This window comes from Homo sapiens, chromosome 8, assembly GCF_000001405.40.
Source record: "Homo sapiens chromosome 8, GRCh38.p14 Primary Assembly".
Classification (NCBI taxonomy): domain Eukaryota; kingdom Metazoa; phylum Chordata; class Mammalia; order Primates; family Hominidae; genus Homo; species Homo sapiens.
Genome location: NC_000008.11, coordinates 76,570,811 through 76,597,679, shown reverse-complemented (window position 1 = coordinate 76,597,679; position 26,869 = coordinate 76,570,811). Strand labels below are relative to the sequence as shown.

General features: G+C 36.4%; 1 long non-coding RNA gene across 1 annotated transcript in view; it reads left to right on the top strand.

Annotated features, from left to right (window-relative positions):
* Positions 1–26,869, top strand: part of LOC107986952 (uncharacterized) — a 113,744-nt gene continuing 86,875 nt past the window's right edge. Inside the window, exon 1 of the long non-coding RNA XR_001745962.2 lies at positions 1–345. This is a non-coding gene — a long non-coding RNA (uncharacterized LOC107986952). The remainder of the gene's footprint in view (positions 346–26,869) is intronic.

Here is a 26,869-nt window from a genome sequence, read left to right as displayed (position 1 = left end):
AGTATAGACGGAGATTTCACCATGTTAGCCAGGATGGTCTCGATTTCCTTACCTCATGATCCCCTGCCTCGGCCTCCCAAAGTGCTGGGATTACAGGCGTGAACCAAGGCGCCCGGCCGGAGTAGGAATTTTATGGGTTATAAACTAAGGATATGGAGGTCGACTTGAGGAAGAAACCTGGAGTATAAAAATTCAGTTTGGAAAAAGACGTTTTGTCTCTTAAACTGAAGCACATTCCTGCCATTCATTCGGACCATACGAAGATAAAACTAAAAACTTTTCTCTAAAGCTCCTGGTGATGGTAGTTGAGTCAATGAGCCACCAGCAACAACAAAGGACAAAAAGGTATGTATGATTCACCACGTGTTAATGCGAATGGTAAATTATTGCATCATTACAAGTTAATCAGAAATTTTAAGTTCTATCATTTCAAAATTGACTGAATAATAGGATAGTGTAGTGGTATTAGCCAAATACTGTAAGAGTCATGTTTTTCTAAAGACCTAGTTTTGCTGCCTAGGTTGAGAACAAAACAAAATTTTTGGCTCTGGTCTTTGCCTCCCCCTCTCACCACATCTTGCACCCTAACTGTATGTCCCTCCTTGAACTGTTCCAAATATTCTATGCTCCTTGCTCTGCACTGAACAAGCTATAATATGCCTAAAAATGTCACTCCTTTAAAACAACAACTAAGTTCAGATGTGAGTTGCATGATATTTTGATTAGGACCAATGACCCAAAGTCAGTGATGTAGAGAGTCATTTCACAATTACAGAAAAAATTTCTGGTTCTTAGTATGAGTTCTAACATTAATTGAGTATGTCACTTTGATACGTCTTTTCTTGTTAAATATTTCATGAAGAAGGTGCGATTTTCATTTCTGTAATACAGATGAGAAAATTGAGGCAAACTAAGAAAATGTCAGAGCAGAGTAAAAATTTCAGCCTTCTTAATCAGTATTCTATACTAATTCCTCTGAGTTATATGTGAGTTGAGTTGATACACACACACACACACACACACACACACACACACACACAGAGTGCAGAGCTATAGATTTAAAAGAAAACAAAACAAGATCTTCTAGGATTTTCTTGGAATGATCAACACAAAGTTTTGCTTATTCTCAATATAAAATAATTATCTGTCAATGCACACAAGCTCACACATGTGCACGCACACGCACGCGCGCACACACACACACACACACACACATGAGTACTATCCATGTTTTCCCCCAAAGCTATGAAAAGGTTACCTAATCTAAAAAAAGATATTCAGCTTCACATCTTATGAGATGCTATATAGTTTTAATATCTGTCCTGCCCTGCAGCTATCTCCCAACAATAAACTATACATAGAAATCAGAGTGTAAGGAGAAAATAAAGATATATAGTGACACCAATATGGGAAAGCAGAACATCTGGAAATTCAGTGAAAATATTAATAAACTCTGAAAAATTTAGTCAAACTTTTTAATATCATGTAGCCAGAATAAATGGTTAACTGAGTCAATTTGATATTTTGGTATTGCTTGAAAATAAAATGACTTAAAATGGTCTAATTTTTTCTAAATTATTCTTTTGTGAACTGGCCATTTGATTTTAGTCACAGGTCTGTTTACAGTTAGATGAGGTATAAATAAATGTAGACATTTTCACTCAATGGATTGTATTCTACTCAGAGGAGCAATAAATTAGCTGCATATTACCAAGGTTTACATTCCTAGAAGTATATTTTAGAATATTGGTCTGGGAATGATGTAATGTTTTTAAGATGTTCATGTACGATGGTCAATAACTCAAATCTCCTGATCAAATTAAGCACATAGATTCTTTTAAAGATACTCTTCTACTCCTAAATGTGAAATAAAGCCAGCCAGAAAAATTTTGACATGTAACGTGGAGGTAAAAAAGATAACCAAAAGCAGAAGAAAATCCTAGCAATGGGTGCTACAGTGGTCTTGAATAGAAGATGGGAGAAGTATGTGGAAGTTTGTCTGGAAGATCCTGGGGTCAGATGTGCAGGATTCCCCCAATGAGAGAGAAGAAAAATACATGTGCTTCTATTCTTATTTTGTTTTTTAAATTTTTTTTATTATGGTAGAATGTACAATATAAAATTTGCCATTTTAACAATTTTTAGGTGTACAATTCAGTGGTATTAGGCATATTCACATTGTTGTGCAAACATCACTATTATCCATCTTCAGAACTTTTTCGTTTTCCCAAACTGAAACTCCATAATTACTAAGTCATAACTCCTTATTTTCCTCTTCCCCCAGCCCCTGGTAACTGCTCCTTTACTTTCCGTCTCTATGAATTTGACTACTCTAGGTACCTCATATAAGTGGAATCACACAATATTTGTCTTTTTGTGTCTGGCTTATTTCACTTAGCATGATATCTTCAAAGTTCATCCATAACGTAGCATGTATCAGAATTTGGTTCCTTAGTACGGCTCAGTAATATTCTAGTGTATGTGTATACTACATTTTAAATATCCATTCAGTGGTCCATAGACCTTTTAGTTGTTTCCATTTTTTGGCTCTTGTAAGTAATGCCGCAATAACATGAGTATACAAATATCTGCTGGAATCTCTCCTTGAAACCTCTTTAGGTATAAACCCAGAAGTGATGTTTTTTAAATTTTTAAAACTTTTTGTGGAAATATACAGAATGGTACACAGATCATAAGGGTACAGCTTAATGAATTGTCTTTCAGATAACACACCCACCTAAGCAGAAGGCAGATCAAAAGGCAAAACATTGACCAGCACTTCAAGCCCCACCCCCATCCAGACCTCAGGCCGCTGCATGGGTGTCCACTTTCTTGACTTTCAACCTAGATCAGTCATGTCTGGTTTTTGAACTTATATAAATGGAATCATACAATACATACTCATTTTTTTCACTCAACATTATGTTTGTGAGACTATAAAAATTCTGTTTCTGAGGTTATTAACATTACCTAACCTTCTAACATTTCTGAGATCTTTAAAAACCCATATTGCCACTTATAGTTTTAATGTGTCCATTCTCATTGATATATAATATTCCATCATATAAATATTATGTAATTTATATGCTGATTCCATGATTGATGGGAATTGTGCCTCTTTTCTTTACTCTTTTATCCTTACAAAAATCTTGGGTGGTTGAGAGTCCTTGTAGAGAGATTCAGGGTGTTGGACTTTTCCTTCTTGCATTGTAAGAAAAGAAACAAATGAAGTAACTACAAACCTTGTCTTAAAAAAAGCATTTACCATTTTACTTTCAACCTATATTTTGGACTTATCCTGATCTGCCAGTACCTCCATTCAGCTATGGCTTCCTGACAACCAGATAAATTCTCTTCTTTTCTTTTACACTTCCCTCAGAAGTACTTAGGCAATTTGACATTTTTTTTTCCTCTTCAATATCAAAGGGTGATCATCTAATTTTATAAATTGTGTATTTTAATGTGAGTGCAGTTTAGAGGTCTCCCTGCTGAGGTTGCCAGAGTTGGATTCAAGGGAACTTAGGTGGCAGTGGGTGTTGGGGAGGAAGAGCAAGTATCTAGCGTGAGGAATAAGCTCTTGCTTTTTCTGTCATAGCCACGGGATTTATACCTACTGGTACATTCGGTGGGTTCTCTTTGACTTAACCATCCCTTCAAATCTTTCTTTCTACCAGCACCATCTCACCAGGATGATTCATCACTTTTTCCTACATAATCACTCTGGGCGATATTGGAGCCCATTACTCTAGTTCCTGGAGCCTTTCTCCACAGGTCCCACTCTTACCTCCCATCTCAAGGAGCTGGGTACTTTCAAACTCATGACCCAGAAGTTCTTCTACTTTAAATTACATGTCCCTTAGGAATGTTCCTTTTGAATGGCTAGTAGATGGCTTAGCTATCTGTATTACTTTGTTTTCATTCTTTTGTGTATAATGACATACCCGAAACTGAGAACAAAAAGAGGTTTAATTGGATTTACAGTTCCACATGGCTGGGGAGGCCTCAGAATCATGGTGGGAGGCAAAAGGCACTTCTTAAATGGCAGGGGGAAGAGAAAAAATGAGGAGGAAGCAAAAGCGGAAACCCCTGATAAATCCATCAGATCTAGTGAGACTTACTCACTATTATGAGAAGAGCATGGGAAAGACCGGCCCCCATGATTCATTTACCTCCCCCGGGTCCCTCCCACAACATATGGGAATTCTGGGAGATACAATTCAGGTTGATATTTGGGTAGCGACACAGCCAAACCATATCACCATCTTTGTTTTACCAATAGTTATTTTATGTTTTGAATGACCAAGAAACTCTAATAATAGGGTATGGAATAAAGGGAGAATGGCTAAAAAGCCTCAAGCTTTTGAGTAAATTGAATCCAAAGTTACTGATTTCATGGATTACAGCAGTGAAGTCTTCATATTGGTTCATCCCTTGGCTATAGCAGTGAGATTCAGGGCAAAGAACAGGCATCTTATGGACTGGATTGGGGCTCCTCAAATTCATATGTTGAGACCCTCTCCCCCAATATGACTGTATTTGGAGACATGATTTTAGGAGGTAATTAAGTTTAGATGAGGTTATAAGAGTGGGGCTCTACTTCTATAGCACCAGTGGCTTTACGAGAAGAGGAAGAGAGAGCTCTTTTTGTCGCTCTCCGCCATGTGAGGTCACAGTGAGAAGGTGGCCATCTGCAAGCCAGGAAGAAAAGAGCCCTCACCAGGAAGAAAATCAATTTGCACTTTTATCTTGAACTTCCCATCCTCCAGAACTGTGAGAAATAAATTTCTGTTGTTTAAGCCACCTAGTTGATGGTATTTTGTTATGCTTACGCTGGCAAACTGCAGCTTTGTACCCCTGAATGAGTCGTTTATGCTCTTTAAGTTTCAGTTTCCTAATTTATAAATTGGCGATAATAATTCTTACTCCACCCAAGTTGTTGGGGAGATAAATGAGATAACATATCAAGGAGTGCAACAGATACCGAGTGCATTTCTTAAAAAATGATGCTTCCTTTTTTCTCCCATCCTGTGTTCCCTACCACCTGATCACAACTGTAAAAGGTAAAGGGAACAATAATGCCACCATCACTTTTCAAACAATGAAATAATAATAATGGCTAAAAATTATTGAGTACTTACTATGGGCCAGACACTCTACTAAACACTTTATTTGCTTTATCTTGAGTCCTCACAGAACACTTTAAAGTAAATATTGTGATTCCTTTTAACAGAGAATTAAAACTGAGGAAACCAAGACACACAAAAGGCAAGTAACTTCTCAAAGTTACATAGTTATTATTTGGTGGAGCCTGGATTCCTATCTGTCTGTCTGACCACCTGGGCTGAGTTCTTATTCATTTTCTTATTCCCAAGTATGCGATTGTTGGTCATTCAACCCTAAGGGCACAGGAGATTCAATCACTGCTCTCATGCACCTCACTCTCTAGTAGGAAAGATGAAAATAAGATTGGTAATTAATAAATAGAGTGATAAATGTTAAATTTGCACAGGCTGTTGTTGAGTACAGAGGACAAATACCAACTGTCTGAAGTAGCCAGAATCAGTCTGCTGAGTTGACAAGGTTGAGAAGGACATATCATGCAGAGGGAATTAAAACACAGAGGCATAAGGGCAAGGCTCATTGGACATCCACATGTAGTTCTGGGTGCCTGGAGTGAAGGACCTACAGTCGGGAAATGGAGTAAATGAGGCAGGAGAGGTTTGTAGAGGCCAGATTACAAAGAACATTTATATGACATAGAAAGGTATTTGAATTCTCTTCTATGCAATATATGTGTTAGAAAGCCATTCTTGGGCTGGGCACCATGGCTCATGCCCGTAATCCCAGCACTTTGGGAGGCCGAGACAGGTGGATCACCTGAAGTCAGCAGTTCGAGACCAGCCTGGCCAACATGGCGAAACCTTGTCTTTACCAAAAATACAAAAATTAGCCCAGCGTGGTAGCGTGCGCCTCTAATCCCAGCTACTTGGGAGGCTGAGGCATGAGAATTGCTTGAACCCAGGAAGTGGAGGTTGAAGTGAGCTGAGATCACGCCATTGCACTCCAGCCTGGGTGACAGAGCGAGACCCTGTCTCAAAAAAATAAAATAATAAAATAAAATAAAATAAAATAAAATAAAATAAAAGCAAGCAAGCCACTCTTGTATGCCTTCCCCTTCAAGATAGTGTTTCTTCAGAGAAGAGTCTGTCCTGTTCATCTCTGAATATCTAAGGCCTAACATGAGGTAGTCACTCAATGAATATTTGTTGAATGAATGAATGAAGGAATGAGTGAATGAATAAGTGAATGGTATTAAGCCCATCATAATGTATACTTTTTGATCACTCTAACTGCAGGGGAACAAGGTTCAAGGATGTCAAAAATGAGGTAAGGGCTGAGTGCAGTGGCTCATGCCTGTAATCCCAGCACTTTGGGAGAATAAGGTGGGTGGATTGTTTCAGCCCAGGAGTTTCAGACCAGCCTGGACAATACAGGGAGATCCCCTATCTACAACAAAAATACAGAAACTTAGCCAGGTATGGTGGCACGTGCCTACGGTTCCAGCTACTCGGGAGGCTGAAGTGGGAAGATCACCTGACCCTGGGAGTTTTGGGCTGCAGTGAGCCTTGATTGTGCCACTGCAATCAAGCCTGGGTGACAGAGTGAGACCCTGTCAAAAAAAAAAAAAAAAATGAGACAAGAGATAGGAGAGAGGGAATTATGCAACAAAGGCATAGTGAGGAGGGTATTGGAAAGTTATTCAGGAGAGTGACAATTATTAACCAATACAAGATAATCCAGAGTATTGGCTGGGGGCAGAGTGAGGTGAGGTAAAGATGGGGAGAAACAGATTTGGGGAGAATACAGTTGAGTTTTGGACGTATTGAGTTTGAAGTGGTTGGAACCTGCAGATGGAGGTTCCTGGTTGTCACTTAGACATAGAAAGTAGGGCAAAGGGTCATTGTATTAAAACTAAGGCCATGCCTATTTATTGTGAGAGAGAATGTGTAGAGGCAGACTGCAGAGAGTTCTAGGGTCAAATCCTAGAAAAAAAAAAACAAGCACTTTCAAGAATTTGGTACATGTTATTGAATCTTATTTGCTGTCAATGGTAGAGAAAGAGGAGCCAAGAACGTGGGTTTAGGAGGAGTATGAGATGATATGAACCTTGTGTCATGAAGTCTAAGGAAAACTCAAGGAGGTATGCATCCAACAGGTAAATGCTGCAGAAAGGAGTAAATTTAGAACTATTTCCTTTATATTGTTTGGTAGAATATTTATTGGGGAAATTATATAATATCTATGGAATTAATTTTAAAACAATTTCAAGTGTCTGCTTTGCCTGGTGCTATATTTTTTTCCATGAGTTGAGTACATTTTATATTCAGCATCTGAAACTGAGGATTTAAGAAAAGTAAATCACACCTACAAATAGCAGTTCTTTTTTCATGAAAAAAAGAAGAATGTTAACACAGTATAATACCAGGAGGATACAGTGAATGTAATTGCTTGCTTGCTTAAGACATCATTAAGTTGGTGGTCAGTGCAAAAAATAATAGGACCAAATGGAAATTTCTGAGCAATTTGTGTGCTGACTTTTCTGGTGGTAAAGGCTCTCTAGGATGACCATGAGAATATACTATCTCAATAGACTAAAATATTACAAATAGAAGCATAATGGAAAATTCAGCACGGTAATTCATTTATAAAAATAATGATGCTTCTCATGTTTTTAAAAAGTGTTAAGACTTTTTAGTTTTTTGCTTTTTAGAAACTTAAATTATAATTCAATTTTTAAAGTATTTGTTGAGACTAAGGAAAACGTGTGCCTATTCTTTGTAAAGGATAAACAAATCTATACCTTTAAAAATTTTAATCAAAGTATAATAACTATGAGAAAAGTACACATAAATGTGTAACTCAATGATTTCTTCACAAACTGAACACAATTGGGAAACCTATACCCAGGCTAAGAAACAGAACACTAGGAGCACCCAAGATATTTTCTCTGAGTTTGTTTTGAATTACTAAAAGAAAACACCATCTGCCTTCTACAGCATAAAATCTAAATTTTTAAACACTATATTTTTTTCTGATTCTCTACCATGCAAAGGGATAATAGTTCATTGAAGACAGTGCATTCAGTCATTTATCTCATTTTTCTCCTTTATTTAGGCTCTAAGCTTGTCCACACCAGGAATTATGGCTTATGCTTTCATGTTTGCCTGAGGGCCTAGTGCAGACTTTGGAACATACTAGGTATTCAATAATCACATTGACTAACAAAATTGGAAAGCAATGGAGACAAAAAAAAAAAAAAAAACCTGAGAAAAATTGGAGCCCAGAATTCTTGTGATAGAGATGTTTTGGTCTTGGTGACACTGAAGTACAATGTATGCCTGGACCAGTTCTCACCCTGAACATGACTCAGAGCAGGGCAAGAGAAAAGAGTAATTCTCTAGAGCTGATTTTCTGGTCTCCTTTGATGGGGTAGAAAGAGGAGGCTTTATTACTGCATCACATGTAAAGGTGTCAGGACACCCAGAGTGATTCTCTAAATAATTTGGCACAAATCTTATATAGTTGAGAATGTTAGCACGTTTTTTTTTTTCCTTTCATTCCTAAGGGAGATTAAAATACTTACTTTCTAGAGAACCCAACGAGGTTGCAGTTGAAAGAAATGACTTACATTGCTAATATTTTATCATTGCTATTTGTTCTATATATATTTTAGAGTTTCCTCTCAATCTGATAATTTACTGATAATTATTAGAAATAAAATGAATACAAAAAGGAGAATAGTTGGCTATATATTTTGCAGCATTTAATTACCTAAAAGTGTCAATAACCTTGATTTTTAATTTTTTTTTGTTGTACAAATGACATTAAATTCAATGATACTAACAATAATGCAGGTTAAGTGAATGCTTGCTCTAAACCAGCCTTATAATTTACATAAATGAACCCATTAGAGCCTCACAATTATTACACCTCCCATCACATTGCATCCTCATTTTAAGAGAATGAGGCTTAGGGATGTTCAGCTACTGGTCAAATCAAGTAGGTTTTTGAACATGCATTCAAACTAGGTCTTCCTAGCTCCTGAACCTGGACTTCTACCTATGTATTAAAATCTTATAAATTTTAATAATTTGGGTTTTTACCTACTATTATTAGGTTGGTGCAAAAATAATTGTGGTTTTTGCCATTACTTTTAATAGATACTCAACACTGTTTACTGAAGTTTTTTTTTTTTTTACCTTAATGTGATTAAGCAGATAAGCTTTCAACTGGAAAATAAAAGCTCAAAGAGACAAAATACAGCCCAATAGTGATAAAAACAGCCCAAGAGTTTTTATCTCTAAAGTTTTGACCATGATTCACAGAGAGGTTTCTGTATCACACCAGGAAGGTTGGTTGTGAATACAGAATTACAAGAAAAAAATCCCAATTATTATATACAGCTTAAAATGAAGTGTGGAAAGGCATCCTTGACCATTATATGCATAGATACAGTAGCTAAAATTCTGACCAATTTAGTCATTTTTTTTTCTAGGTGAAGACATTGTCTCTAAGAGTTCCCATTAAAAAGCAAATGATACCTGTTAGTTTCCATTATGACATTAGCATCAATTAAACTAAGGGGTTATAAGAAACGGACAAACGGTATCATATCAGTGAAATGTCTTAGTGAAAGGCCACCTCTCGGCTAGGGGGCCTCAGAGAGACAAGTCAGCCTCTTGAGAGAAGGCAGTTTGTTAGGCTCTTCCAACCTGGGGAGTTGCAAAGAGGAGGTGGTTCTAAGTAACGTCCAGTTATACCCTCAGACTAGAGTCAGGAACTAAGATTTGGTTGCTCTTCTTCATAAAAGCCTTCCCAGTCTCCCTTTGTTTTTAGGTTGAGTCATCATCTTGCATTTTCCACTAGAAACTCTTCATGGCCTCTTCTCCAGCCTTGTTTCACATTTTGCTAACACACGTGGTCTTTCTAACCTACTTGAGCTTTTCTCAATATACCTTGGGCATTGTCTTTAAACTGCTTGAGAAGTATTCTGAGAATAGTAAACAAATGCATATGCATGTGTATTTGCTAAATTTCCTAAACTACTAAAAATCCATGCAACAGAATTTGAATGCTGTAAGATACAACTCTCTCACATGTCATTTGAAACACAGCAAGACACCAAATAGGTGACAAAGAGGCAAGTAGTAATAAAAATAACATACTATTATTTTGTCTTTTGCAAATAAATCACATATGAAGAAATAAAAGTATTCCTATAAAATCTGGTAAATTATTTTAGGCCATATCCAGAGAGAAATAGAATGTGTTCAATTAAAAATGATTGAGAAATGTTGTTCTTTACTTTAAAATAGCTGTCGATTTAATTATTTATAACTTTTATTCTCTACTCAAGATAAAAAGACAACTTTTATATAACTGGATAGCTATTATAAAGCTAACGAGATACCTTTGTCTTTCGTCTTGCTTTCATATTAAGCTCTACAGACTAAGCGTCTGGCTATAAATAAAACTATTGATGTTAAAAGGTCATGGCTATGACCTTTCACATGTTTCTTCTCCACTATATCTATATACACTGGATACTTTACCCAGAGAAGAGATTCTTTATTTAAGAGAGCTTAAACTGTTCAAATTTGTAACATACTAAGGATTTTGGAATGTCTAGGGGACTTAGTGGATAAAAAACTGACCTTTCATCTCTGAACCCAGACACAGTCCAACCTCAGATAAATGAAAAAGTTTTGTGTCAGTTGCCTCTATGATAAACTGGTACTCTCCACTATCTTCCAACCCAATTAAGCATTACTGGCAGGTCTGGCCTCAAGAGGCACATGGAATATAGAAATGGAATTACTTCTGCTCCTGGAGAGGGTGTCTGAACCTTCAAAATAGGATTTTAAAGTTATAAATGGGCAGTGTTGGCCAAAGTTATGTCTACAGACAGAAATCCATAAACTTGTATGAAAACCTCCCCCAGATCCCATAATTATATGCAAATTTGAGATACTGTGATACTTTTCATGATTCATACTTTTGGCTTTTATTTGACATGTTTACAAATTTATAAAATAATTTTATTCTATTACTTTACACAAAAAGGATAACTTGAATGTAGTAGACAGTAGCAATTATGTATAGAAATAATAGCATACAATGCAGTTTGAAGCTGTTACAGCTAATTTAGTTTTCACAGAAAAGTATGGACAAGATTTTCTAAAATATTAAATAATACCAAGTCTTGGCATTTTATTTTGAGTATGTAATACGAAGTTGTAAAAAGTTTTTCATTTTCTTGTTTAAATTTTACTTATATAACTTTAAATAAACAGATTTTTGGCTGGGCGCAGTGGGTCACGCCTATAATCCCAGCACTTTGGAAGGCCAAGGTGGGCAGATCAGGAGGTCAGGAGATGGAGATCATCCTGGCTAACACGGTGAAACCCCGTCTCTACCAAAAATACAAAAAATTAGGCGGGCGTGGTGGCATGTGCCTGTAATTCCAGCTACTAGGGAGGCTGAGGCAGGAGAATCGCTTGAGCATGGGAGGCAGAGGTTGCAGTGAGCCGAGATCACGCCACTGCACTCCAGCCTGGGCAACAGAGCGAGACTCTGTCTCAAAATAAATAAATAAATAAATAAAAATAAATAAAATAAAATAATAAAATAATTTACATTTCAAATAAACATTGCAATTAATTAAAATAATATGTAAGCTTCTAGTGGGCATAATTGCTGTTTCTTATAGCTTTGATTTTCAAATATACAACCCAACAATACGCAGTGGATGCTCACTACCTACTTTATGATGAATTAATAAGTAATGATTGAATGCAGTATTAATGTGTATCAAGGAAGGCCATTGTAAGCGGAAAAAATCCATCAAATATTTCAGTTATGTAAATATAATGGAGGGGGAGAGGTTGAATCATTCTTATAGATATATTCAAATGATTTAAAATTTCAACAATGAAAGATATAAGGTTTAACTTGAGACGAGCCTTCACTTTCAGGGAGAGCGATAGTGATTGAGGGTCTCTATTTTTCTCCCTCAGAGAGAAGACAATGGCTATTATTGAATTGAATTGAAATGAGTTTAATTGCAACTTTAATTTACATATTACTAAGAACTTTGTAATGTGCATTTATACATTAATTTATTTTAAAATTAACAGAAGAAAAATACATGATTTTTTTCCCTGTAGATGTACCACATGACACTAAAGGATATAATGATGAAAACCACTGATCTAATCTCTTAGGTTGGATTACAAGTTACTTTCATTTACTTCTTTGCATTCTTCTGTATTTTGTAAGTCTCATACCAAATACAGAAAAATGTTATGATAAACTGGTACTCTCCACTATCTTCCAACCCAGTTAAGCATTACTGGCAGGTCTGGCCTCAATCTTTTATTCATACAGTTGTACAATCTTTTATTTTTTTATTTTTATTTTTTTACCAGGAAAAGTAATCTCTGAAACAAACAGTGCTCCCTAAATTCCACCTTATTATAATTTTTTTATGTAGTCATCCACCCATTCATATTTGGAAAATGAAATGTAATATTCACTCTGTAAATCTGAAAATCATTAAGTCCACTAGACATTAGAGGAAGAATATTTGAAAATTTTTATGTGGTGAGTAATTAGATTTGTAAGTTGAGTGAAAGTGAACTCAATAAAGGTGAAAAATTAAAATTCAATAGCAGAGGCAAAAGTGGCTCAGAAGGGGCTGGGAACTTGACAATACTTGAGAGGAATGTGTTGAGTGGTTTCAAAGAAAAGAAAACAAGACTAGCTTGATCTATGTACATAGATGATCTGGATACTTTATATTATTGGGTTTGGCCAAATTGATCAATTTAACCAAATGGTTACTCAATCATACTCTAATAAAAACATGAAATATGAACTGCAAAATATTGGGTAATTAGGAATAACACCCTGAAGAAAAAAGTAAAACACAGGAAGTAAAAGACTGATATTTCAAGGTATGAAATATCCAAATCATTACCAAATTGGAAGTGAGAAAATGATGCTATACTCTGAAGATTAAATTAGAAATATAAGCTAAAATCTGAGAAGGATTAGAGTAGAACACTGATGTGAGAAAAAATCAAAAGCTAAAATCCAAGTTTTTTGACTAAAAATTTTTGTTTTTATATTTTAATATGTTCCATTTTCACTATATGGTTTTCAAAGGGATATCAGATATAATTATTAAGGACCGGTTAGAAATGGCTTATATACATACATATTTTATATATATATATATATATATATATATGTGTCTTCTTATACTGATTATTTTTCCTACTTAATATGTGAAACTAAATATGAAACTCAGAATTCTGAAATCATAAATACAAATTTTATCATTTCTGAAATCTGTCATTTGCAGTCTTATCATTCCCATCTTGTTTATAGGTAGATGTTTTATTTCTTTTTGGAAACTATAGATATGAAATTTTCAGTTATTTTACTTAGAATAAATCATAGCATCCTTATGTCAGAGCTATACAAACACAAATGTTGGCAAAATTCACATTATGGGAATTTCTTATTTTCATGACCCTTTACAGCTGGCTAATTGTAGTTTACATAGCTATTTACTTAATTATTAATTTAATGTATATGTCTCTCACTAGACGTGAAGGCAAAGCTATGTCTATATTTGCACCCTTGAATGTGAAGTGCCTAACTGAATGACACGAAGTGCTTGAAAACTAACTCGAATGAAAGATTGACCCAACGACTGAATAAAGATCTCTTTGAGTTTTCATTTGGACTTAAACCACATGTAATAAAATAGATGACTGCAATTAAGGGCTTTTTCTTGCTCAGAGATTATTTTCGTTACTTGAAGGAAAATTAACAGTTTTAAATTTCATTGACTTGGATAATTCATTGAGTTGGAAATAAGCATTTTCCTACAAAAAAAGTAAATATACAACCTCAAACTCCAGGAAAATATTTAATAAAATAAACTACCAATTTAACAAAGAAAATGCAAGTCACTGAAGATCATTATGCATTTTACTTTAAAATGGCCTTATATTTCTCTTATATAGAAAATTGTTTAGAGATTCATAAATTGTAATTTAAAACGATGTCCACTTATTTAGTGTCTGTGAGCACTCAATGCATGTTAAAACCAAGAGAAGACCACTTGCTTTAAAGATGATAACACCTTTGGAATGTTAATAGTATAAAACTTTCTAAAGGAAAATTATTTCTTTACTGAACAAGGAAAGAGTCAGATTGGCTTAGTCCATTTTGCACCTTTGTGCTGGGGAATCTCTGGGTTTAAATTACAGCAGCCTCAGTCTTTGCTTTTCAATCCCTTAATCCTTAAGGAGCATAGGTTTCAGTTCAAGACAACTTCACACAGAACACAAGAAAAGATTCTGTGAGCCTACCTCAAGTATGATGATGTTTTTTTCAGCTGTGATCTTTCACTTGCATCCCATAGTAAAAATGACTTTGAGGCAAACCAGTGTCAAATAATTAATGCATTTTCAACGAAGGGCTTTTTTTTCCCACTATACTATAATGCAATGCATGAAAAGCAATAAATGCTTTCATGTAAGCCACTTGTACCTGTGGTTTTCATCACTGTTTCACTGGGATCCCTCACATTAGAGAATCTATGTGAGGTGCCTACGCTGAAATGGAAAGAAAAGCTGGCCTGGGAGGTTTCACATCTGGTAGCCTACCCCATTACTTAAACAGGCTACATCTTAAAAAAAAAAAAAAAAAAAAAAAAAGAAAAGAAAGAAAAAGAAAAAGAAAAAAGTTACACAGGTTGAATTGAGGCAATTATGTTCTGATCTAAGACATATATATTTGTCGATTATTTCCAGGTGTTTCTTGAAAAACATGTTTTCTTGATCTATAATTAATATTCTGCTAATGGAACTCTAGCAAAATGCCACAAAACCACTCAGCATTTCTCCATGCCATAAATGATAAGAACTAATAGTAACCATATTAAGATTCTTAGGTTTTTAAGCATTATCCTAGTTTATGTCACGACTATTATTTAAAATTATAATATCCAGGTGCTGTATATGGTATTTGATCAAAGGGAATCAAAATGTAATGAGTTATAAGTTTTCTCCCTGAGGGCTCAAAGTGTACATAATGGGAGAGGGTGTGATTTATTTTCTGAGTCATTCTGGAAACAGTTATGAAAACCTTTAGTTAAATATTGGTAACTGGGGTTATTGAATCTGCTGATATTTACCACTTATAGGAGGTTATAGGAGTATATTATTTTGAAGGGAAAACTGAACCAAATTTTCTTTTAAAAAACTCAAAATATCATAAAGCATTACTACCAACCACTGATTTTTTAAATGAATATTTTCAGACTCTATGTAACATGTTCATAGAATCACACACACACAAAATCAAGACTTCAAAACTGACCTTTAGAGATAACAAAAAGTGACACTTGATTCTTTTTATGGTGATGAATGTATGCTCTAAATTACAATGAACAGTAGAGCTATAATTTTATGGGAACATTTCTAATTTTTCTCACATTAACCTTGTATTAAGAAATGCTGACAACTTTGAATTGCAGAAGTACATCCACTTCCCATTCTCTGCCATCAGTGAAAATGATCAGTCCTTCCCCTTTAAGCAAATACAATAAGGAAGCATCAGAAGAGGGTTGAACACTTTTCTTTTCTTTTTTTAAATTTTGATCTTCCTCAAATATTGTTTGACCTTAATCACTGTCTTCCAACAAGCTTAATGGGACATCACCTTGAAACAAAAACACACAGCTCTCAAGTCTGGCTCTGGAATGAAAAAGCCCTGATTATTAGTCCTCTGTGTGATCTTTTCAGATTGCACTGATGAGATGAAGTTTAATCTCGTTTCTCTCCTCTCCAGTACCACAAACCACAGGCAGTTTAAGGCAGCCTGAAAATCTCTTACATCTGGAAGAGCAATAATTCATGGGATTTCGCCTGACAGCCATGACAGGCAGCAGGGCAGCCAGAAACAACCATCTCTTATGTTGTGCTATTTGCAAAAAATCAGAAAAGGAGGAGTCGGCACATGACCACATCCTTCTTTAGCATATGTTAGTGGAGAAAACTCTTTTATTTTCTGCCAGATGCTTCATAAATAGGTCCTAAATATTACATAGACAGTAGCTATTACTTCCAAACAAAATTCCTGGGTGTCTGCTAAGCTGCAAAGCATATGAAGGCCTATTGTCTGGCAAAGGGTCATGGTTAGATTTTTTTAAATAGATATTTCAGATTCTACATGTGATTTATAGGCATTTGCACACCCTGCTGTGCATGAATATGATACCATCTTCTGAGAAGGATTATTTCATGAAATGTATATGGGATTTAGCTACAGTAACTTTTACTGGGCAGTTTAGAATGGCCAACAAAGTACTAGAATTTACTGCAGCACAGCTTGGGCTGTCAGGCTCCAGGTTGGTGTTTATGATTTCTGCAGAAGCAGAAATAAACAACTTCTCCTTAATGGCCTTCTTTATGTGTAGGCAGCAGTGGCCCTATCTGGTCTCAACAACAGTAGCTGGTGCAGCAGTCTGTCCCATTTCATGTGGAACCAATGTCTGAAGATTTGCATTTCTGCTTTTCTGAGTTTTCTGTAGTAGCAGCCAGAAATAGGGAAATAGACTGCAAATGTTTGAATGGGTAGCATTCCACTCTACTGTTTTCAGTGCTATAAATACATTGTGGATAGAATGACTCAATTTTAAGACTCTGACTGAGAGAAGGGAATGGCTGCATTCATTTTCAGATTGTACATTGTCAATAAACCCTATAAAAATACTCATCAAAGAAATTTTAAATGACTTCTCTGAGAGGCCTGTTTTCCCCAAAGTATGTGATATAGTTAAGTCTCCATTCAATATGCATTTCAAGGTATATTTAAGCAATATTCAGAATGATACCAGGCGTAAGAACAAGCATATGAATATGTTAAATATGCACTTTTCTATTTAGACAAAAATTGTAAAAAGGAATTATCTACAAATTTCCTGATATAGCAACAGTTTTTAAAGTTCAAAAGAATGTCGACACACATTGTGTATAGAAGCAGGCAGAATATACATTTTTAAAAAACGAGACAACCGTTTCATGCCAAAGAAAAACAATTCCTTTGCCAAACTACACATTGTTAACTTAAAATGTGTTCCATGTGGAAATACGGAGACTGATTTTAAGGAAAGACTAGTGATCTTAAGTCAGCTGGCTCCCTGCCTGTCAACTATACGTTTTGGCTTCTAGTTTTACAGCTAGAATTGGAAATATTTATTTCCCCTATTTAAGACTAGTTCTTTTCCTTTGCCTAGTAAACCAATGAATTTGCCTGTAAACATGCATATAGCAAAAACTTTCAGGCAATACGCAAGGGAAGAATAATTTAAAATCTCTTGTAGGCAGCATATAACAGGTTGGAAAGATTGCATTTTATTCTGTTCTCATTTTGTCCAGGCCTTTTGCCAGCATTTTTGTATACTCATCACATTTTCTGGAAAGAAATTAAATTACCGAAGCCTTCAGCTCTTGAGTTTGAAAGCTTATGACCACAAAACAGTTACATATTTGGAAGGCTTATATTGTGATGACAATATTTACCCATCACCACTGCTTAGAATTATCAACATCAACAAGCCTTCACATACCCTGTTACGGGTTTCTTTAAAGTAGTCATTATATTGTGGTCTTATGCTGGTTACAGATGAATTCTGAAAGGCAGCTTGAATACACAGTGATGAGCAGTCATTGGAAAGACCTTGCAAAGGGAGACATTTTTGATAGTGTTTAGAAAAGATTATCTAATATTCATTTGCTAGTCATAGCAAATTTACATTGGATAACTTTATACATATTTTCAGCATTTGATCTTTGCAATAAAGAACACAAATGATCGACCAAAACGTATTATTGTATTATTTTACATAACATAAAATAGCAGGAATTCGAATTTCATGTGTATGTGGAAAATATACCATATTTATTTCAGTTTCATTCTCTGAAAGGCTAATCCAGAGGCTTTCAGTAGCCAGATTTTAGTAAGTCTGAGTGGGCAAGAGCTATTTATTGCAATTCTGAGAGCATAAAGCTCCTCCTTTTCACACATACCCCTTTGCTGGAATACCCAAGTTTTATTTATGATTTTGGATTTTATTTCACAGCATTCCAGTTTAGTTTAGCATGATGTATTTAATAACCATGTCGACTGTCTTAATTACCCTATAAAGCAGGGTTCCATTGGCATTTGACCCTCCACGGCATTCCAGAGAAACTGCAGAACCATGATAATTACCAACCGCCTGTGAGAAAATTAAACAAAAGGCCCAACTTTTAAACCACCATTTTAAACGACCTATTACATCTCAGAAATAAATCATTGAGGAAATAGCCTGCTTAACAGGAAAATAGCTATTCCATAGCAAAGAATTTCCCCTTGTGTGATCATGAAGAGAATATTAAGTATTCTTCAGCTCAAAAGGTTAGATTTTATGTCTGTCCAATGTCTTTTAATGACACATTTTTGTGTAATTTTACTGTAATCAAAGCCTTTTCCAATAGAGGTTACAGACTGTGGATATTTTGTCAGTCTCACACATTTTTCTATCCGTAGTATATTAAATGCACTTAGATATGGCTGGGGGTAGGGAGAATCTGTTTATAATTGGAGAAAATTCAAATTAAAAAGAGATCTATGAATAGTTTTATTTCCCTTGATTAGCGTAGCCATTTGCTATACATTCTTCAAAATGTGCTAATCAATCACTCTGTGATAAGATTGATTTATTAATTGCTGCCATAGTCCAAAAAATAGTGACCTGCTTTGAAGGTCTAAATGTCTGGATTAATTTGAGAGTGGTGCCAATATGTCATAACTAATCATGATATATCTTTATGTTCATTTCTACATAGCAGTTCTATCAGTCTGATGCTCGACAAATACAAAGCTCAAATTATTCTCCCCTCTCACTCCCCATCGACAAATATTTGTTTTGTGAAAGTTAATACTTTTACATATGCTTTCTATTATGATTCTCAGTGTGACATTAGAGATATTCTAGATAATTCTGTTCTGATCTCACTATAATCTAATAATTAGGATCATCACTTTAAAAAATAGGAATACAGCTCAAGTAAGGACATATAAAACTTCTAAGCTTTTGTTCTTTTTTGGAATCATTTTGACTCTCTTCTTTGCAAAAGCCAGGGTAAGGAAATCTGCCTTAAGGTCACATAAGGTCCATTTCCAGGTTTTTCACACTGATGATTCTGTTTTTTCTATTGGCAAATTGCCCAGAGTCCAGGGAAGCTGGCCAATGGGTACAAGAAATAACTGGGTGAGCAAGTGCGTTTCTTTGGCAAGGAGATATGACAGCAAAGAGGAGCACTAGATTTGTAGTCAGGCATCCTGGCATCACATACGTATTCTGCTGTTTACCAGCTGTGTGATCTTCAATAAATTACTCACCTTCTCTGCGTTTCAGTTCTCTCACTTGTAAAATGAAAATAATGGTAGCTATTCCACACATTTTGAGAGGCTTAAATAAATTAGTATCTGTAAAATGCATTCCATAATGCCTGACTCATAGTAGTTATTCAGTTTTTGTTGGATTTGATATTTTGGCTCTTCCCTCACCTGAGTTCACAATAATCTGGTTAATGCTTTGCGAAATGCTTTCTCATTAAAATCCACTCAGAAGCTCCAAGAGATTGCCAAGAAGCATGGAGTAGCTGATCAAGGATCCTAAATCTATTTCCTCAACCATTCACATCACATAAATTACTTTGACTATCAATGCCAGTTCCCAGGGGTGCATTCCTCATTGTTCTTCAAAAATTCTATCCCAAACATAAACTATTTGTTTTTTCCTTCTTGGCACAGCCAAAGAAGGTTAAAGTCTTAAAATAATTTAAAAATACTATGAAAGAAAAAGAGGGAAATAAGAATTTTTTTTTAAAAAAAATTAGGTTTTTGAAGTAGATATTTCTGACTCTGTTATCATTAGTTCTTGCAGGGTTATCCAGTTCTAGACTGTAACCTCAAATGGCTAGTGTCCATGTATCTATGGCCTGTACTGCTCTTCTCCTTGTCACCCATCGAAAGCAGAACACCTCCACTTCCACCAGAGTTGAACCGCTCTTCTTGATACTTTAAGCTCTACTATTCACGGCTTAGTGCTAAATATAAACCTTGCTACCCGTTTAGGACTCAAACGCAAAACAAGGTGTAGGTCTGAGAAACAACCTTTTCTGAACAAAGTGACATCACAAATTATTTCACTCTTCAGATGAGACATAATGGGAATAGCTAGGTCAAGAAAGGCCTACATCACAATCATGTAAAATAAAATCTTAGTTTTGGCCTTGGCGTAAAATTATCCAGGTGAAGATGGGCAGCTGGATCCAGTAGCTCCTGAAATGCATCTTTTCTTAGGGATTTTTCAATTCTTACCTCATTGACTCTCTAGTTCAGCAGCTTCTAGCCTGGAGTCCATGGACTCTGCAGTGATCTATGAGCAGAATTCAGAGGGACTAAGGACTTGGGTGGGCAAAATTGTAACATTATTTTTACTGGCTTCAAACTAAAGTGTATAACTTTATTCAAATTTTTAAGCAGGAAACAAATCACAATAATACTAGCAGTATCTGTATTGTTACCAAAATAAATCACAGATATTTTTATGTAACCTTACACATGTGGTAAATACTTATGGTCACTACTACCTGAAAATTACGTGAGGAGTGATTAGGCATGTTTCCACGTCTTATCACTTAGTGTATCAGTAATAAAGCATGCATGTGATTGTATCATAAATTATTTTTAATATATTTTGATAGCTATACTTAAATATCATAGTTTTTCTTTGCAATCTTATATGTTGTGTCTTAGGAGTTTAAATACATTATTCTTAGATTGGGTTTTTCGGTTTCCTCCAGACTGCCAAAAAGTTCTATGGCACAAGAAGTTTGAGAACTAGTGCTGTGGATACCATCTATACAGCAAAGCACTATGCTTCTGACGATAGACCCTGCTTTCCTAATTGATCAAGAGATAAATAAGTGATTCCAGCTGGCTAAATGTGAGTTTCTTCCCTTGATTTTTCAGGCTAGAAATGATAATAAAATGTCCTTTCCTTTCTGATGAAATGATAGGGATATGAGTCCAGAGAGCCATGTGTACCACTAGGTGAAGAAAGTTCAGTGGTAGAAGAAAATAAAGCTAACAAGTAAAATAAGAGAAAGAGCTGGAGAGCAGAAGGTCCTGATAATTTTTTTTTCACCATGAATTCAATTCCTGAGGCCAGCCCCCCTCTTCCAATGATTGGATTATATAAAGCCAATTGATTTTCTTTTCAAGTTAGTTCATGATGGGTTTCTGAATCTCCTAACAACTACGACAACAACAGCAAGCATCCTAACTTATAAAAGGAAGCATCACGGCTTCTTTCATCTCTCACCCAGGCAGTATACCAAACTCCTTTCCTTGGAATATATTTATTGTGGGCATCATTTTTTTTTCTTTCTTTCTTTTCCTGTTTGGAATCCTTCTCTTCTTCACTTGTAAAAGTAAACCATTTTTCCTTGGGAAACTTCCCCCACACCCCACATTCTCAGTCTACTCCATATGAATGAGGCTGACCCACTTTAAGCTGGAAATGTTGGGATGTGGTCCACGATTAGCCACTCAGCACATTTCATGACCCTGATTGGGTTCCACATAAGATCTAATCTAGGCCATTGGGAAGCAAGTCCAGTGTTTTTATAAAATTTGAGAAGAAATATAGCTCTTTCCATTGGGGCTACTGACAGTAAGGAAGAAGTGATGCTGGAGGTACAAGGACCCTCTCAGTGGAATGCTAAGTGGAGACTTTAAGATGGACCAGAGCCTGGTGACATCATTTGATCCCCTACTCCTGGCCATGCCAGTGGTTGATTACTGTGCACTTAGCAATGTTCACCTAGATTTGCAATTCTATGAAACAATAAATAGCCCCCACATTGCTTTTTGGCTTAAGTTAGTTCGCATTTGGTTTCTACCTGTTGAAACCCCAGTAGTCCTGAATAATATACCACAGTACACCCTAGGCAGACCAAAATATTCTAAAATCTTTTTGCTAAATACTGCCAGCTAGGGTTGAGTTGTGTGCCTGGAGGTTCATCCATCTCTAGAAACACAGGTGATGTCAGTAGTTACTAGATCAGTAAACTTTCCCTGTGAACAAGGAAGGTTTGAGAATACTTCTTGCACATTGCTTAAATTCTGACCCTGTATGTTTCAGGAATACTACTGAGCATTGATCAGATTTCTTGGTGGTCAGATCTAGGTGTTTACCATGGTGGTGTTACTGACCCTCTACCATCTTAGGGAAAGATGAGATGTCCCCTAATGGTCATGTTTTCTGGACTTTTCCTGTCTTATCATGGGATGAACTCAATTCAATAGTAAGAAAACAATCAAATTGAAAAATAGACAAAGCGACAGGTATAAGAAAAAATGTTAAACATCACAAATCATCAGGGAAATGCTTTCCTGCCTTGTTATAGGATGAAATTCTTTAAATGACATAGTCTGTTATTCCTATTGTCTCTTCTCAGCACTTTCATAGCTATATCTCCTCCCTGTTCTTCCCCTTATGATTGAATAAACGAGTGAATGAATAAATCAGGTCTCTTTGAAGTTGGCCTGAACCTATAGCTGACCTGCTATGCCTGTGACAATTGCTTCCTCACCTGTTTACTTTTGTTCATTTTGTTTCTTACTTGCCTTCCTCTTCCCCAAGCTCAGCAACTTTTGGCTCTCAGTAAACTGTGTTCCTGAGTTTGTCACACAGGATTGAACCTCAATCTCCAGATAAATAGAGATGTCAAAGAGGAAAACATGCCAAGAGAAATAAACTTAGAGAATGCAACAAGAGTAAAAATGTCCTAGCTTCCACAGTCTTCAATAGCTTAGTCTTTCAGTTCGTTGGTAGAGCATATGCCATTTGAATTATCAACACCGTTACCCCAAGGGCTGGCACATATTTTCAGCATTTGGATATCCTAGTTCTTGCCCTTTCTTTGAATAAAGGACACCATCTTACATATTATTCTATAGAACGTCTCAGTTTCTTCAGGGCTGAAACCATGAGGGCCATATTTTCATGGACCATATCTGCTATACCTTCTTGGGTCCTATACCTACTCTGAGAAGCTCTTCTTCCCCCACTTACTGTCAGTGTGAAAAATCTCAGGCTTACTGTTCCTTTTATGTCTTTACAGACTCTATGCATACATGAGGTATCTCAAATCTCTCCAGCCTGTAAATACAAATGAATACATATGATTATTAATGCCAAAGGTATGATTCCAGTTAAATATACAAATAAGCATGGAGCACCTCCCCGGGGTCAGGCATTGTGCCACATGCTGGGGAGATATTAGTTGAATGAGACAATATTGTCATGTTCTACATGTACTTAACCACTTAAAGAGAAAGGCTGGCTTCAGACAAACCTTTAAAAACAAGCAGAATATTAAAACTGTTACAAATCTAAGCTAGTGCAGAAAGTCAGGGAAAGCTCATCAGATTATGTAACATTGAAAGATGAATAGTGAGTTAAACACAAAAGCAAGAGAAAGGCTTCTCAAGCATAGTGAACAGAATATCTGAAGGGGACAAGAGAGAGAATAAAAAGTATCAGTGTGGCTAGAGCCCAGAGAAGCAAGAGAGAACACAGCCCTTCGGGAGATTGGTGAGGTGGGAAGGAGCCAAATTTTGGAGAGCCTGGTAAGCCATGTTAAGAATGTTTTTAATTAAAGTAGACTTGAGGAAAACTACACAGATTTGGAACAGATGCTGTGGGAAATGGGAAATAGCTGTCGAGAGAGGAGCGAAGGGATTGCCAGTGTTTGTGAAGGCCTAGCTGAGGGTGGACATCATGACAACGTAATGAAAGCAAACAGCCCAGCTATTTAATTTTCTCCAACAACACTTAGCAGCGTGGAAGTAGGCATGATGAGTACAGGCAACTAAGCTGCTCCAGAATTTGGGATTGGCTTAGTATGTGCAAACAAACTGAAGGAAAAAAAATTTAAGAATGTTGGTGTAAGCAGTGGTGCCAAGATTGACCAGGAGATTCGGGTTATGCAAGGAAGGAGTATTTAGAAAAGATATTCAACATAAGGACCACAAATACAACCTTGTAAGTCCTGACTGCCTTGTTCACTTCCAGATCCTACCATTTATAAGCTCTTAGGGAAGTTACTTCAAGTGTTTGAGCTAAAAAAGGAGCATGATAGTTCTTGTGTCATAATTTGTGGGGGAGGGAAAAACTGATAAAGTTTATGCAATGAGTTTAGCCCAAACCCGGCACATAGTAGACACTCAGAAATTATTGTTTTAAAAGAGAGAAGGAAAAAAATATGTCTGTGAAGAGACTAAGAGATTTGGAGAATTGATAAAGGACAGGAGGTCCTGGGGTAGTTGAAGCTCCAACTTAGTAGGATTGAGGAAGTAATAGAGGCAGAAGTTTCTCAACAGTAAGATAGATACCGACTTGCTAAAGAGTAGAAAAGAAAACTATTACAGTAACCATGAGAACAGCCTGTTCTATAGGCCATCACCTGTGAGCCATAATGAGGACAAAAAAAAAAAAAAAAAGAAAGAAAGAAAGAAAAACTATGAGCCAGGGACCAACATCCTCAGCCAAGTGTCTGGTGGAGGCATGTTGTAAAGCCAGGTATACACAGTTCACAGGGAGAACAATTGCATTTTAGGATTTCGCTTCCTTCATGATTGCCTTTTCCTTCTTCAATCTTCTAGTTCTTCTACTCTTCTCAGTCTTCCCCTGAACTGACTGTCGTGTTTCTGCCCTCAAGGCAAAGCTTCGGCTCTTTTTATCTTTTCTGGTTATGATCCTCACCTGCCCTCTGCACATGTTCTCTAGGAGCACTTTTCATTTTCTATGGTCTGATCATGCTTCAAACCGGGGCAGCAATCAGGATTGTCTGATTGAAGCCTGGGGTCTCCAAATGCCCTCCTGTTCACTAAATTCCACCCTGTTAACCACGCCTACTCTCGTTTACCATAAACATTTATTGCATGAGCCTATCTGCTGCAGCTGGGTGTTGTGCCAGGTGCTGGGTTGGAATCATTCCAGTACTGGGCGATATGGTTTGTCTGTGTTCACAACCAAATCTCATCGTGAATTGTCGCTCCCATAATTCCCATGTGTTGTGATTGGGACCCAGTGGGTGATAATTGAATCATTGGGGCAGTTTCCCTCATACTGTTCTTGTGGTAGGGAATAAGTCTAATAAGATCTGATGATTTTATAAGGGGCTTCCCCTTTGGCTTGCCTCTTATTCTGTCTCTTGCCTGCTGCCATGTAAGACATGCCTTACACCTTCCACCATGATTGTGAGGCCTCCCCAGCCACATGGAACCGTGACTCCATTAAACCTCCTTTTCATTATAAATTGCTTAGCGTCCAGTATGTCTTTATCAGCAGCATGAAAACAGACTAACACACTGGGTTTCCTCCCTTTCAATGACACTCTGCCTGATACTAAATTGTCTAATTTTTCCAACTTCTAATGAGCACTGGATTTTTGTGTCATTGTCCTTGACCAGTTTCTACAGAGAGAATAAGCTCAGTGTTTATTCCTCTATACTCTTACTCAGGAGTTTTCTTTCAATTCTAATTTGTTTACCTATCACTTCTCTACAGGTAATTCTCAAAGAGACTTTCCATTGCTGACCCTGCCCCATGCTTCAGTCTGCATTCCTGATAACTCATCTACATGAAAATTTAAAAAAATACTAAGGTGGCTAACATTTGTTTCAGTGCTTGAGGGTTTACAAATTACTTTCACATAATTTCTCTTAAGGCTAATATAAAGTTTATTTGCATAATGAGTGATTTACATTTTCTTCCTTTTTTTCTATCTAGATTCTAGAGGAAGAGGTACTGTTCTGCTATGCTCTGTGACATGCTATTTGCTTTAATTTTATTCTTGGTGCAGTCCCCGCCTCTCTCACCTGGAACCTTTTCCCATCAATTATCTCCTCTCTCTCCCGTGTCTTCAATCTCAACTTTTCCCCTGGCTTCCTTTCTTCAGCCAACAAGCATGCTCACCATACCCACCATACCCATTCCTAAAATGACCTCCCTGCAACCTTGACTCCCTGGACAATATTGCCTCATTTCTCTGCACCTGCTTTCTTCACTTCATTACCCTCAATTCTCTCCTCATTACCATCAGGTTTCCACACTTACCACACCATTGAAGCCTACCTCTTAAAAATCAGTGACTTACAATGAAATTCCTGCAAAGGTGAATTTACCACTTTTTGGAATTTATTCCTTCTAGGTCAAAAGAAGGGAGAGAAATAATTCTTCATTTCTATACCCTCAACCTCCTTTGAATCAGGCTTTGGCCTCTTCTAACCAGGAGGAAAATGCACTGTAGCTTCAATACACAGAGAAAATATATAATTTAATTCTCGGCTTTTGAGTTTCCAGAACCCAAATACTGAAGACATAAAGGCAATTTGAGAGATGTCTTAGGATGGTTTTGATCATGTGAGGTTATCATCTCAGGTACAGATTTTAGAATGTCTTCCTTGTAATGTGCTACTCCAACATATGTCTTCCTTGTAAACACCAATAATCTCTCAAAAGTTTTTGTTTCATTTACTTGTCTGCAGCGGTGTACACATTTGACTATACTTCTTAAAATATCTTTTTTTGGCACACAAACATCACTTTTCCATGTTTTATTCCTATTTCTCTAACTACTTCTATTAAGTTTATTTTACTCTCTATTCT